The 15,662-nt window shown below is 42.7% G+C and overlaps 1 protein-coding gene across 2 annotated transcripts in view; it reads right to left on the minus strand.

The window, feature by feature from the left end:
* PRLR (prolactin receptor) overlaps positions 1-13,864 on the minus strand; it is a 181,732-nt gene extending 167,868 nt beyond the window's left edge. For both annotated transcript variants that reach the window (XM_024446131.2, NM_000949.7), the window contains exon 1: positions 13,645-13,864. In XM_024446131.2, coding sequence (XP_024301899.1) covers positions 13,645-13,703 — 59 coding nt within the window. In that variant the 5' untranslated portion in view covers positions 13,704-13,864. The remainder of the gene's footprint in view (positions 1-13,644) is intronic.

Genomic DNA, 15,662 nt, shown 5'->3' on the forward strand with positions numbered 1-15,662 from the left:
CCAAAGACAGTGTGCTGCCTTATAGTTTTGAGTCCAGACCTATATAGGTAATTAGAAAACTTTCATTTCTTTAGGAGACATGGACAATGATTTGGTTTGGCACTAGTTAGGCTGAGAAGGACTTGGTTTTTAACCATCTGTTATCTGTGATTATTTGAAATATTCAGTTTCAAAAGTTTAACCCACTTATTGAACATTCCAATTCCAAAGACACTGTTAGGCACTGGGGCAGGGTAAACAAAGGAGAATAAGTCATAGTCCTGCCCTCAGGTAGCTTACAGCATAGTGGTCTTGACCAAGAAGTCTATGTTTGACACAAGGTGATAAATGAAGGTGGTAGGGTAATGTCATGAGTGTAGTAAGTACATTCTAGAATTCCCCTTTAGGTGACAGGTTTTGCCTTCCCTCATCCTCTTCCCAAGTCTTAGCAAGCCTCTAGCTCCACTGACTGATGTTTAACTCCACGTATCCTTCTGGACATCCAACCCATGCAATCCTTTTCTGTTGAGAAACTTCTGAGGCCTGTGATGACCTGAGACAAATGCAGAGAGGAACTTATACCTCCAGCCTCCTGAAAGTGGGTGTACATGCCAACACTGGGGGCCTAAGTGAACCCCAACATTCCCAAGTTCCTGCAGAAGACTGAACCCATGCAGGCTTAGATCCTAGGACTCTTAAACCTGATACTTAACTCTGTCTAGATTATTTGTAAACTCACTGCTGAAAGTACATGCCCACCAATACCCAGATGTGTGCATCTTGTGTGATTTCATCTGTTCTTTTATACTTTTCTCTGAAAATACTGCTGTTCATCCCTAAATAGCCACATTAAATATACACTTGAGTTTAGAAAGGAAGCTCCAGGGCCACTAAAGAGTCACTGCTACTACTACTGGGGGATCAGCAATAGTCTGTAGGCTCCGGCTTCACACAGTCATAGCATCTTGCGTGTGAGATAACTTTAAAAGGGTATTTAGCCCATATTAATATATATGGTATATTTTTGTAAAGGCTGGAGGACAGGAGAGGGGGACATTTTTATGAATGCTCTTTTATATCTTTGAATTTTAAATGAACTAAATGAATTTTAAACCATGCATAAAAATAAATAAAAATTTAAAAGTCACAGATATGAACACTATTATGGTTTCAATGATGTCCTTTGAAAAGTAAAATAAGAAAAGTTGCTAAGAGAAAAATAAAACTCATTGAATCAAACCCTGAGGGAGGAGATAGACTGATTCCTGTGATCACATAACTGCCATTAATTGCTCTGATCTTTAAATGACTTGATTTTAGCTTAGGACATACCTATATCAAATATATATTCACCCTTACTTTCTGCTAAATATTTAACCAAAATCATCCCAATAAAGAAGAAACTTACATTATTGGTTTGAAGATAAATTTTTTTAAATATTTAGCTTTTTGTAGGATTCTGAGTTATTTGGAGAATATGCAAAGATTTGAAATAGCTTTCAAACTTTAATTCACTGATGTTGCCACTGCAATCTTCCAAAATTGAGTATAGTTTACTGCAACTATATGTATGGATTTCTGTTTTCTTTGCAGTTTTAAATTTGGAAGTCAACCGTAAGAAATACCTGACACATATCATATAATATTTTAAAATAACATTTTTTTGAAAATTAAAGTTGAATAAACAAATTGATGATTTGATTAGGTAAATTCAACACTTCCAATGAACGCATGTTAATCTCTGTTGAAAATTACCCTATGGAAACTGGAGCAAAAAAATTGCATCTTATATAATTAAAATATATAACTAGTTTAAACATATAATATAGAAGACAAATCATCACAATTACTGTCTTTATAGCCATTGCTGAATAGTTCACTTACTTAAGTTAAAATCTTAATGCATTTCCTTATATAAACTTCAATTCTGTAAATCCCTTGTTGTTACTATCATTAGGAAGGAAGGAAGGTCTGTTACTTTCACGCTAGTTATTGAGAAACCAAGTAACTTGAGAGAAGACATTTTTGAAGGTAGATATGCAGTGAAAAGCAGAGAAGACAGAATGAAATATTGTGTTTCCTAGGCTTATTTCGCTTCTACTAATAAAACACTGGAAAGAAGCCACCAGAATTTTAAAGCAAATAATGTGGTAACAAATAAATTAATATGACTCTCTTTTTTTAATTTTTTTTTTTTAAGTTTCCAAAGGCCAGCCTCAGATGGCCGTGGGGAGCAATTAGAATTTGCTTCATGGCTTGTTGAATAACTTTGGTTTCTTCAGTCTTTGATAAGTGGCAGGTGGGTGGGTACAACACAGAAACTATGAATAGTAGGCAGAAAGAGTTTGAGGAAAAGAGAGGGCATTTCATCAAGACTCCTCTGGTATTGGCAACTTTCACCAGCCAGTGCCCTGTTGGCGGCGGGGTGGGGGGTGGTTTATCCTCCCACCTTGGCAGATGGCAGGTGGTTTAGATGTGAGGCCTTCCTGGAGGGGGGTTGGATCATTCAGCCTCTAGATTATGCCATCTCCCCACCAGTCCAACTCCCGGAAGCCCGGCCCAGTTTTAGTGTCTCCTAGTGGTACCTTGGGGTTTTTGCAGGAGAAACAAGTCTACTTCTGAAGGTGGCAGCTTCAATTACATAGAAAAGTGGCACAACATAGTTACTAGGAACCCAGAGCTGTACAGATGGATTCAGTTCAAAACCTGGCTTTACTACTTACCAGCTGTATGATCTTGGGCATATGACTTAACCTCTTTTTTTGCCTCAGTTTCCTCATCTATAAAATGATAATAAGAGTACACACTTTTTATTATAAAGGGTGGCTGGAAGGACTAAATGAGTTAAAACATGAAATTCTTAAAACAAGGCCTTGCATACAGTCAGTGCCCACTAAATGCTTGCGATTATATTAGCACTTATATGGAGAAACTGATCAACTGTAGAAAGCCCCATGTAAATGTCTGACAGCAGGAAGGCCTTGGTAAACACAGCCAAAGTGTCAAAACACTCAGAAAAGAGATAAACTAGTAATGCGAATGTGACCTTTCCAGCACTTACGAAAAGCACAGTAATCAAAAACAACAAAAGCCATCAGAATAGTCTTACGAGACAGGATGAAATTTTTATGGTTAAGAGGCAAAAGCAGCAAACAGAAGTTTCTCCCCAGGCAGGGATTTGTTTTGTTCTGCTTAAACAAGTTAAGGTTAAAATTCCTAATGTTTTTAAATAGCACTAGATATTATTCTGTTTTAGTTCAAAACAAGGGGTCTAAAACAAGGGTAGGGCAGGAACAATCATCTTGAGCAGGACTAGGTTTTCCAGCACTTTCGCTGGTCCCCTCCATCTGAAAGCCATGCTGGCCATACCTCCAAATTCCATCCTGAATCCAACACCTCTTCCACCTTGCTTGCTGTCACCTTGGCATGATCCACCCTCCCCTCTTGCTTGTACTTCCGATCAGCCTCCTACAAACCCTCTGCTTTCAGTCTTCAAGCCATTCTCCACACAGAAGCTGGGAAGAGCTCTCAAAGGCAATGCCAACCATGATCCTACCCTGCTGAAAACCTCCCAATGAGTTAGGATGTTAGGCTCTCAAAGCACTTAACAGCCTAACTCCATCCCATGACCTCGGGCCCTCCTTGCTCTTTTCCCACCTTTCCCTCATTGCTTCTTACCTCGGGTCCAGCCACAATGGTCTCATTTCTGTTTCCTGAACAACTCAGACCTTTTCCAGTCTTAGGACTTTTGCTGTTGTTCTTTCTGCCTGAAGCCTTCTTTCTGCCAGCTCTCGGCATGCTTTTCTTTTTAGTACTGATGTGCTAGCTTGAAGGGCACCTCCTCAGACAGTGCAACTTGTACAAGCTATTGAAAGCAGCCTTCAGCAAACTCTATTCCCTTCAGTTCATTGCATTTTTTTCATAGTACTGACTAATTTATTGGGTTTTATTTATTGTTTGTTTTTAGTGTGGATATCTGTTTCCTCTTACTGGAATCTAAACTACACTAGAGTAGGAACTTCATCCTTCTATCTCCAGCTCCTATAATGGGTCCTTGGAACAAAGCAGAACCTCCATAAACATTAGTTGAGTGAATAAAGAAATTCTGATGCCCATGATAGTTGACTAACAGGAGGCCTCTGTCCATCGTTCTCCCCTGCGATCTTTTTTCTTATTTTCTCCTAATCCCACAATCTCAGCACCCCAGAAAACAAAATGCTACATCACCTTCTGTCCCCCAGCCTCTTCCATCAAATCTAATACAAAAACCTGGTTTCTTTTTGTTATTAATACAACCTTCTGAGGATCGGTGTATCAGACTTGGCTGGACCCTGGATAACTGATTCCAGAATCATTCTCAAAATCACAGATTCTTCCACATTTAGGATGACTTGGAATTGGCTTTTTCCAAATCCAAATTTATGAGTACCCCAGCCTACTCTGATACTAAGTAGCTTCTGCAACCAAAATGATTTCCAGGGTCTGAGAGGGTGTTACACAGCCTAGTTATTTCTTGGCTAATTTACCTTGGTAAAGCCTACCCAATGACAGTCCCTGGAGACTACTGCTGTAATTATATTTTTAATAAGGGTGTGAACAGGAACAGAGTTAATTGGCTTTAAAATGGCTGAGACAAGAAAGCAAGTCTTGGTTAACTAAAGATTAACATAGCAATTGGGAAATCTAATATATAGGTGGCAGGAAAGCTTAACCTTTATCTTTCAGTCTCATAATTAATTAGCAAGCTTCTGGCAATGTGATTTCTAAATTGCACACAGAAAATTTTAGTGATGAGGCTACTGAGTGTGAGGTCTCTCTATAGAAGTAGCAAACTTAAATTATGCTCAAAATCATGTTTTTTAAAGAACAGAATGATGAAATTGCTACTCAACAAAAATATAGTTTGATGGTTTTCTGGGCCATGAGACTCTAAAACAAGGCAAAAGAAGAAATACAAATAAGTAATTAAGATTTGGATCATAGCTGACCAGTAGTAGCTCTTAGCCCTGGATGCACATTATAAACCTGGAGAACTGTAAATAAATACGAATGTCCAGGCCCCTTCCCAGAATATTGATTCAGTGAGTCTATAGTTGTTTCTAAAGCTCCCTAGGTGATTCTCACGTGCAATCAGTGTGGAGCAACACTGTTTAAGAGGCTTGCTTTTTGCTATTGCTAAAGCTTTTGGAAATTGTTTTAAATCAGTAATGGATTTTGAGACAGAGAAAAGAAAACCCAACCATTTGGGAATGGTACAAATTGACCTATCTTTTTGTCTAAAGAGGCTGTATTGCCAAGACTCTGGCTTTTTCCCCGCACTGTCCTTCAGAAGAACTTCCGTCCCCACCCCTAGTCTCACCGTGGGCAGTGAACCCAGAAGCTCCCAACACATATAAAGGATTCTTTAAAATGTAGCTGTTGGCCGGGTGCAATGGCTCATGCCTGTAATCCCAGCACTTTGGGAGGCCAAGGCGGGCAGATCAGGAGGTCAAGAGATCGAGACCATCCTGGCCAACATGGTGAAACCCCATCTCTACTAAAAATACAAAAATTAGCCGGGCTTGGTGGCGCGTGCCTGTAGTCCCAGCTACTCGGGAGGCTGAGGCAGGAGACTAGCTTGAACCCGGGAGGCAGAGGTTGCGGTGAGCCGAGATCGCGCCACTGCACTCCAGCCTGGAGACAGAGCAAGACTCCATCCAAAAGAAAAAAAAAAAGCAGCTGTTTAAAATGCTGGGCTTTCTCCTCTTTTTTTCAGGGGTGTAGCAAAAAGCTGATATCCTTTCAGTGAACAAGAGCTTCAGAGAAGGGAAATCAGAACAGCCGTAAAGTGTGGGGCTAGGAGCAGTGGAATAGCAACCAGAGTCTTCACTTCCCAGATGTTAGAGTGGATAAACTATAAATATGCAAGGCCAAACTTCACTAGACTGAGAGCTCCCAGGCATCAGGGACGGGGCTCTCGGGACCACTGTGACTGCCTATGGGTCATTGACACTCAGATAATCACAGTGTTGGCAGCTTAGGGAAACCAGTCATCTTCACCTACTGATCTGTGACACTGATTCATTCATGTAAGAAATAACATTCTAACACCAACAGGAGAGTGGGTAGACTCACTTTGGGAGTTTAATAAGGTATGTGGAATTCAGTAGCTGGAAATTCTAATTTCACCTCCCTGAGAATTCTCATTTCACCTTCATCACCAGCTAGTCTCCTGGCCCAAGGCAAGTAATTAAACTCCATTTCTCAATTTGTAAAGTTGGAGAGGTGAGGGAAGATTGCAGATGCTTATAAAATAGCTACTGTGGGCACTATTAGGCATGATAATAAAGCCCTTGGCAATGATTACAAAAAGCCTGGTAGAAACAAGCTCCTGTGAGATGCCCATTGTGCCCCACTTAGCTAGGATCCACTATAGGACACCCCCAAAGTACACAGAGGACAAGAGTAGGCAGCTGGTTACAAAGGCTTTCAGCCACATCATCCAAGTAGACAGAATCACCACGAGGAATTATCTGTGAATTTAAAAGACTACATACAAATGTGCATGTATATACAGTTTCTACAAATTAAAGGTCACACTCTTGGTTGTCCATTTAATCTCCTTTAAAAGATTACTTCTTTCATTTTATGTCCCATGATTATGATATAAAAATCTTGGTTTTTGCTCAGTGATTCTCAACTCTGACTTCACATTAGAATATTCTGGGAAATTGAGACAGAAACAAAAACAAAACAAAATCAATCAGAAACACCACTGAGACCAGTCCCCAGTCTTAAACTAATTAAATGGAAGCTCTGGAGTGGGGCTGAGGCATTTGTAATTTTTAAAAGCTTCTCAGGTGATTCTGATGTAAAGCTCAGATCTGGAGCCACTGGATTAAGCCAACTGTTCTTTTCCACATCACGCACCCCCGAACCCATGTACATTTCCACTGCCACACCACTGTGCATTTTTTCTTATGTGAGGTGGCTCTCTCCTTCTCTCCTTGTGTCTTTAGGCTTCCAGCCCTCAATGCCCATTTTCTACTTTGTCTTTCTTAATATACCTTAGAGGTTATGGGCATGCTGCCCTCCAGAATTGCAAAACTTTGTTTGCATCATTTATGTAACACTTAGAAAATGTTCTTTACATGCTACCGGTCTTTTATGTTTCTGTCCACCTTCCCAACTAGGAACTATGCTCCTCCAGAGCAAGAACCATGTTTTATTCTTCTATTTTCCCCGTGGAGTCTAGCATAGATTTCCTGGCTTACACAATGCTGAAAAATATGTGTTGCTGTTGATGTAGAAATATTACCAGGGCAGCCCTAGAGAAATAGCTGGGAAAGCTCATTATTTTCTTAAATTGTTATCTTCCCTAGTTTCTTTATCTATAGATACTCTTGCTTAAAGAACTCCAGATGGCCTGGGATGTCGCAGGAGCTTGGTGATCCTTTGCCAAATACAAGAGGCCTGCAGGAAACCAGTGCAAACCAGAACTGGCTACCCCTTGTTCCGTTTAGGTCATTAACATAGCGTTACAATGCTGGGCTCCCCATCCCTAGAAGAAAACTGCCGCCATTTTCTCTCCATAGGACGCATGGAGAAACATGTTTATCTGTGTCTGTGCCTCTGTACTTTCTCCCTGCATGTGTTTACATAGCTCCCCGCCCCACATCTAACTCATCACAATCCTGCAGCTTCCCACAGCTAGGGAGAAGGTGACTTTTTAGAGCAAGAGGTCTCTCATTTTCCATTTCTGGCCAGTGAATAAAACCAGCTTGTCCTTTTTCAATTGGGTGTTCTCTCTCTGGAACCTATACAGACTAGAGAAAGAACTCAGTCTACCAGTGACAGATACACTAAGATTCATTCTTGTCAGCTTCTTTACTGCCATTTCCCCCAGATTTGGATTTCAAGTGGAAATGAACAAATGTTATTCCAAGAGAATCTTACATAATGTTTTGCTCCAGCTACATAAAGGCAACTCCTCCCTGCAGGCACATGTCTAGAGATGCCATTTGTATTCAGGTTATCAATCATAACCATGGCCAATTTGTACAGCACATTTCACCATTAGCATTTTTTGTGGCATTATCTCATCAACACCAAACTTACTACAGGAAGTAAGGGAGAAAGTTGGGGGAAAAAAAGGGAGAGAGAGGGTAACATGCAAACCAGTAGAGTACACAAAAGCAGAATCCAGGTCTTTGCTCTTCAGAGGCTTTCTCCAGCAATACCAGAATCTGACTGCTCTTTTTTTTGAAATAAATGAAACTGCAGGAAAAAAATTATATCTTTATTTCATTGACATATTTGAGGGCCACTTTAGCTAGTGGACAAAAGAAACCAAAGGTGGTCTTTTGTGATGCCCCTGGAGTAGCCCTTCTGGCAACTGGGACTACTTTTTGTTCATGCTGTTTTAAGCAAGAGGACAGGGAGAAACATTTATTACTGCATGAGATTACTTATTTAATGAGCTTTGCACAAAAACATGAAGCTCTAGTTGTCTCCTCGTCTGATTTTACAAAGTGCCCAAAACTACAAAGACAATGTACTAGGAAGTGATTTAAAGGTAAAACTTTAAATCCAGATTTAAAATGACCCTTTCATTGTAGGACGTTTGAAAGCCTCTTGAGATTTACCTGAGTGAGAGGATTGGTCTTGGTGATGAATATAATCACTGAGTCTATTTTATCAGATCCCAAAGTGACATGGTATAGTGGACTTCAAATGATCACCTGCTAACCAGCAGCATGAGGGTGGGGGAGAAGGAAGAGGGACCTCTTTTCTCTCGTGCTTCACCAAATAACTGAATATGGGGGCAGATGAGAAGGAGCCTGACACAAGAACAGAGGAAGAAGTCACGTTTGGAAGAAGGGGGAAAAAGGTCCTATCATGTATTTGTCAACTTATTAGTCTAGATCAGTGCTATTCAACGGAAATATCATGTGAGTCACATATGTAATTTAAACATTTCTATTAAGCCACATTAAAGGAAAAAGGTTAAATTAATTTTAATATATTTTATTTAAACTAGTATACCTAAAATATTATCATTTCAACACACAATCAATATAAAAATTGAGACAGTTTACTTTTGTTTTTGTTTTTGTTTGAGACGGAGTCTCACTCTTTCACCCAGGCTGGAGTGCAATGGCGCAATCTTGGCTCACTGCAACCTCCGCCTCCCGGGTTCAAGAGACTTTCCTGCCTCAGCCTCCCAAGTAGCTGGGATTACAGGCACCCACCACCATGCCTGCCTAATTTTTGCATTTTTAATAGAGACGGGGTTTCACCGTGTTCCCCAGGCTGGTCTCGAATTCCTGAGCTCAGGCAATCCACCCGCCTCGGCCTCCTAAAGTGCTTGGATTACAGGCATGAGCCACCACACCTGGCCAAGACAGTTTACTTTTTGGGGGGAATACTAGGTCTTAAAAATCTGGGGTGCGTTGTACATTTACAGTACATCTCAATATGAAATAGCCACATTTCAAGTGCTCAATAGGCACATGTGGCTAGTGGCTACTGTATTGGACAGTTCAGTTGTAGGTGCACTAACTGGAATTTGGGACATCAAATACAAATCGTTGTCAGCATTCAGCTACTTAATTTACTTTTGATATTCTCCTTCTATCGGCTTCCTTACTTTCTCCAAAAGACATTATCTCAAAGCCCACATGCTGTGTTAGCAAGTAGTTGTGGGCTTTGGAGTGAAATAGACTAAGGGATTCAAATACCAGCTTCATAACCTTGGACTAGCTCCATAACCTTGGACTAGCTCCTTAACCTTGATGACTCTTGGTTTCTTCAACTGTAAAATAAAAACAAAAATAGCTAACTCACCAGATCATTGGGAAGATAAACAGAGTATACAGCACAGCTTAGAATAGTACAGTAGGCATTCAAATAATAATTCCCCCTATATACAAGTCAACTTCTAAAGGGCCCATCTTCAGACTTTAAGCTTTACTGCTTCATTTACTCCAATTTAAGAACTTTCTCTTGAGAGTTCTGCTAAGGTAGCCCTTTCCCTAGACTTTCACAGGGCTGGCTCCCTTTTTGAAAATGCGGGTTTAAGTTCAAGGGTATCCTTTGTATGGCAGTCTTCTCTGACTTCCCTGTTGAAAGTTGCTCCCACGCCCTGTCCCTCTGTAGCCTTCAGCCTCTATTTTCTTCATAGCATTTATCAGTATCTGAAATGATTTTATTTATGTATTTGTTCACCCGACTGTTTTCTGTCACTCTCTCTGGCATAGAAGCTCCACAAGGGCTGGGATCCTGTGTGTCTCATTCCCCACTGTGTCATCAAGTGCCCAGCACAAAACAGAGCTCAGCAAATGCTTGTCGAATAAATGAATGAAAACGTGCTCAGCACAGGGAGGTAAAGGTAAGTGGTGTTCTGATTCTAAAGGTGGTAGAGAATGAACATTCCAGAGCTCTGTTTAACTAAAAGGATTACCAAGGAAGTCAGTGACAGAGCGCCAGCCTCACCTGCTAATGTTGGATATTGCCAATCTTGAGTCTAATGGCTGGGCTTGGGAAGGGTCAGGAATATTATCCTCCCATAGGTGATCTTGTTGTTGCTACCCGTTAATATGTATCACAAGCCAAGCACATGTTCACACCACTTAAAAGCACCCACTAGATTTGGCTATTCCTGCCTTTTAGAAGAATCTTAATCCGGTTGGCTGATGCAAGTGCCTGATATTGGGGAGCTTGGGAGCACTGGGTAGTGGAAAAAGAGTGGGTGCCAAAGTCAGACAGACCTGGGCTTGGATCCTGGTTCTGCCTTTCCTGAGCTAGGCGGATGTGGGGTGTGGGGTTGGGGGGTGTATGTACATTTCCATGTTTCAGTTTCTTTACTGGTAAAGCTTTAAATGATAACTCATACTCTGCAATCTTGCTATGAGAATTAATTGAGGCAATGTGTGAAAGTGCTTAGCACATCTTAAAGGCTCAGTAAATAGTAGGCATGAATATTGCTATCTTTGCATGCAGGAATACCTCACCAAAGTATACTGATAGATCTTTGGCTACTCTGTGGATATCCAATTTCCTTTTAAGTTTCCGATGTTTCCTTCTTTCATTGCTACATCATCTGACCACTTGCAATGGAGGCACCAGGACCCCATGGAGAGAGAGTACATGCTGAGTTGGCTACATCTGTGCCAAACTGTGAAAGATGACAATGGAGATATTTCTCTCTACAGTTTCTGAAGATGGACCCAGCCACAACACTTCTTTCCATGCCTGGCTGTTTTTAGCTGCAGGCACAGCACTAGCTGTTTTGTACTCAAGATTATGGGTCAAAAGAGAACTGAGAGACAGGTCAAGTATCCACGCCGGTCTGGACATACTTTACTTGCCGGCAATACATAGTGCTCTCCTTGACACTGCACAATTCGAACAGCCAGTCTGACTCTGTATTCTGAGGCCACCACTCCTTTTTGTGCATAACTAGACCAGAACTAATTTTACTCATTCTTCTACTAATGTAAGCCCCATAGGAGAGAGAGAGTAAGCTGTTCTTAAAAGCATGAGACTATTGAACACTTATTTATGGTGCCACATTAATATTAAGAAAAAGTTTATCATTGACTATGGGCTAGGCATGATTCATAGTATTTCCATTCTCCCAACAACCATGCAAAAAAAAAAAAAAAAAAAAAGCAGCATTATTTTCATTGTGCTGACAGGAAAAGTGAAGCTCAGGAAAACTCAGAGGCTTGCTCAGTGTGGGAGTCAAGATCTGAAGCCCAGTCTGTTGAGCTCCAAAGCCCTGTGTGTTTTCTGATGTGCCTTGCTGGCACTGCTAGTGGAACACCCAGGGTCCCCAGAGATGTGAGTCCTTAGTCCTCTAAAGGCAAAGTACAGAGGTTCAAAAGAATATGGCTGCCTACTCATACTATGCCTCAGGGAGCAAAGACTGCTTCATTTCCAAACAAAGCCTTGGCCTCCCTGCCATCCAGCTAGGTGACCTGAAGAGCACTCTGATTCAGACAGCGATCCTCTTTAGATGGCTCTCCAGGGTTGGTGGGACTGAAAATTCTAGGGGTAAGGACTGTCGCCTTAGGAGAGTCATTAAAAAGGGTTGTGAGGAGGGGTCCCCTGGAGTCAGAGGCTGGTAGAGCTCTGGAGAGAGCATGTGGGGAGCTCACCCATGACAGGGGAGCTGTCTCCTTCAGCAGCGTGGCTGACTCCAGACCCCCAAGAAGGCTGTGGATTACTCCCACAGTCAGCCCAACCAGCAGCAAGGAGTTGGCTGGGTGGTCTTGATACAGGAGGAGGAATAAGGGATTGTCACCTGGGATTCAGGCATGGCTTTCAGGGAGTATCCACAAACCCTCAGGGATTGCATGTAAAATTTTATGTACATGCCATATGCATTTTGCCCCAGGAAGAGGACTCACAGCTAATTCTCAAAAGGACCTATCACCCCTAATTTTTAAGAACCACTGAAATTAATATTTTCATCTGCTCCTCTCTTGCACTATTCAGCACTTCCACCTCATTAAACATTTATATATATATTATATATATTTCTATAATATATATATATAATTAATTAATTCCCTAAACTTTGCAGAAAAAAAATCGAAGCCCAGAGAGGGTAAGTATCTTGCCCAAGTTTGCACAGCTGATGGTCAGGATTGGGATTAGCAGCACTTCCCTGGTCAAGTGAAGCACGATTTCAGGTGGGAAATCTTGCCCGGTCAACTTGACAAATGAAGACAAAGTGATCCCTCCAGACTAATAATAATGTTTTGCAACCATTTTCAAGTCCAGTCATAGAATCCCCTACGTTGCTTGTTTTCAGGGCAGTGTGGGTTGCTTCCCCAGGATACAGGTAGAGGTCACTAAAAGGATAGTTTTCTACTCAAAGAGCCAGAACTCCAGCCCTTGCCTTCCCCTGCCGTAGCACTCGGGCCGGCCCTCCAGTTACCTGAGTTTGCCTGACTTTAACCAACTCCTCTTCCCTTCCCTCCTCCCTTCTCCAGCGGGCTCTCCTTCCAGCTTCCTCCCGGGCTGCAATTCCTCTGCCTAGGTGCCTCCGTCCAGCTCCGGCTTCTGGCCCGGAGGCTGCTCATCTGCCCCTACCCCCGCTGACTTTTGGGAGGAGCAACACCTTTCAGGTCAGCATTGCTAACCCTAAACTTTCCCCGCCGGATGCCCGCGAGGCTGCTGCGGCGGCGGCTGCTGCTGATGGGAGAGTCTCGAGTCCGGCTTTCATCACATCACCTGTCTGCGCCCCTTCCCCCTCCCCGCTCTTTTTTTCTTTTCTTTTTATTTTGACGCAAATAATTTGCATTCTGAGAATCCCACAATCAACGCCGAAACTCATGCTCAAGGATACAGGTGAAGATGCCTTTGACAAAGGCGAATGCGAGCCGAGTGCAGTTTGTAAAAGCTGGGGTTGGGGGCAGTGGTGGAGGCAAAGCACCTTAAGAGTATTTTTTAGCCCCTCTGAGAAGGGACATCCGGGCGGGAGGCGGGCGGATCCCGGGCTTCCCCGCCGGCTGCCGACTCTGGCTCCTGGCTGGCGTTCTCTCCAGGAGCCCGCGCCGGTGGCCCCGCTCTCCCCTTCAGCACGCGGGCCTCGAACCCGCATCCCGGAGAGCGGCCGCCCGCGCAGCCCCTGCCGCGCGCCGTCGGAGGCGGCCTCAGCTCGCCATGGGTACTCACTTTTGCCAGGGAGCAAAGTCTGCCACATCAGTCGATGAGTACTTCCTGCACGAGGACATGAAGCTCCATTGTGTGGAAAGCTGTTTCGCGAACGGTCGGTAAAATCCAGAAAGAGGGAGAAGGAGTGAGTAAGGCAGAAAGCCCAGCCCAGAAAACCGGCGTCTGGGGATTTCAGCCTCCGCTCCCCGGTCCCCAGCCCGGTGGCTCTGTGAGAAGAAGCTCAACTCGGTGCACTTGTTCACTCTTTCTTCATGAGAGGAGGAGTCAGTGTTGCAACATTTATGTTCCTTGCTGGAGGCAAAACAGTGATTTTCTTCAGCATGCAAAACGTCCAGAGCCTGCCAGTTTTAGAAGGCGACGGAGGTAGTTGGGGGAGCTGGAATCCTGCGAAGACCTGAAGAAACAACTGATTCCCCCCAGATCGGTTTTGCATGATTAGGGCCACATATCTTTCATTGAGACTGTACCAGAAAATAGACAGACAAAACAATAATAAAAATGACTTAGTGAGTTGAATGACCTCAAAGATGATATTTTTCCAGGCAGCCAAGATGTGGAGTGTCTCCGTGTCAAATTTCTTTCCTTATTTCTGAGTAACATTGAACAGCAGCTATATTTGAGAGGTTCTCCAGGGATTTGAATTGCACCTTGCCTGAGGAGTCAGATAGAAAGGAGCAAAAGAAGATAGTCAGTGACCTAAGAAGGTTTTGCTTTTTTTTTTTTTTAATACCCAAAGCGCAAACTTCTAGTGTGCTGTGTTTATTCTCTGCCATATGAATATAATAAACATTGGCGGTGCCTAAATAGCCCCACTTCTGTTGTTTTCCACAAATAAAGAATTTATCTTTTCTAATGGGCTGCATGTTGTTCTGACTTTTCTTCTTCTTGAAACCACACACAACCGCCTTTTCTCTTGCAAAAACAAAAACCCCACATTTAACAGTGCTGAAACAAATAATAGCACCTGCCTGAATCAAATAGTTATTTCTGACTATGTATGTTGCTGGTGTCATTTGATGCCATAATAATTAATGCATCCGATTGTTACACAACCCAGAGGGCCACCAAGGAAATACTTTAAACCAAGGTTACTGAGTTTTTTTTTTTGTTTGTTTTTGTTTGTTTTTTTGAGACAGAGTCTCGCTCTGTCGCTCAGGCTGGATTGCAGTGACCCCATCTCGGCTCACTGGAACCTCTGCCTCCTGGATTCAAGCAATTGTCCTGCTTCAGCCTCCCGAGTAGGTGGGACTACAGGCGCGTGCCACCATGTCCGGCTAGTTTTTTGTATTTTTAGTAGAGATGAGGTTTCACCCTGTTAGCCAGGATGGTCTTGATTTCCTGACCTCATGATCCACCCACCTTGGCCTCCTGAAGTGCTGGGATTACAGGCGTGAGCCACTGCGCCTGGCCGTTTTTTTTTTTGTTTTGTTTTAAGTTATTGAAACATGAGGCTTTCCCCTTTGATTTGACTGCTACTCTGGATAACTGGGAAATCACAGTTAGCAGTGAGCATTTGCCAAGCCACAGGAAGCCATTGAAAATCCCATGATGCTTTGGTGATCCTTTTGGACTGGAATCCCAGAAGCAACTACCTAGGCATAATAACCTAATACTTCCTGATCAATAACACGTCCTTATTAAAACATAGACTCCACCTGGTTCTGTTAGCTGATGGGAGATGCATCTTTCACGTGCAGACCGCACATGCTTCCTGTGATGATTAGGGTATATTTACTTTCATTCATGGGTGTCCATGAAGGTACGCAACTTCTATTTATTTTCAGAACCACTGGGCGACATGAGATCCTCAGTGGCAGAATATTTCTATATGACCTTTGCAAAGCAAAGGGTCACTCAATTCTACAATAGTTGTTCTAATCAGACTATTTTAACAGTTAGTGAAATAGAAGATCACTCTGGGTAACTCCAGACTGTCAGCTCTTAGAAGGCAGGGACTTGGCTTTTCCTCCTTGTGGTTCCCACTCAGCTGCAGGCAGCTTGGCTCGTCTGTACTCCTG

The sequence above is a fragment of the Homo sapiens genome, chromosome 5 (assembly GCF_000001405.40).
Source record: "Homo sapiens chromosome 5, GRCh38.p14 Primary Assembly".
Taxonomy (NCBI): domain Eukaryota; kingdom Metazoa; phylum Chordata; class Mammalia; order Primates; family Hominidae; genus Homo; species Homo sapiens.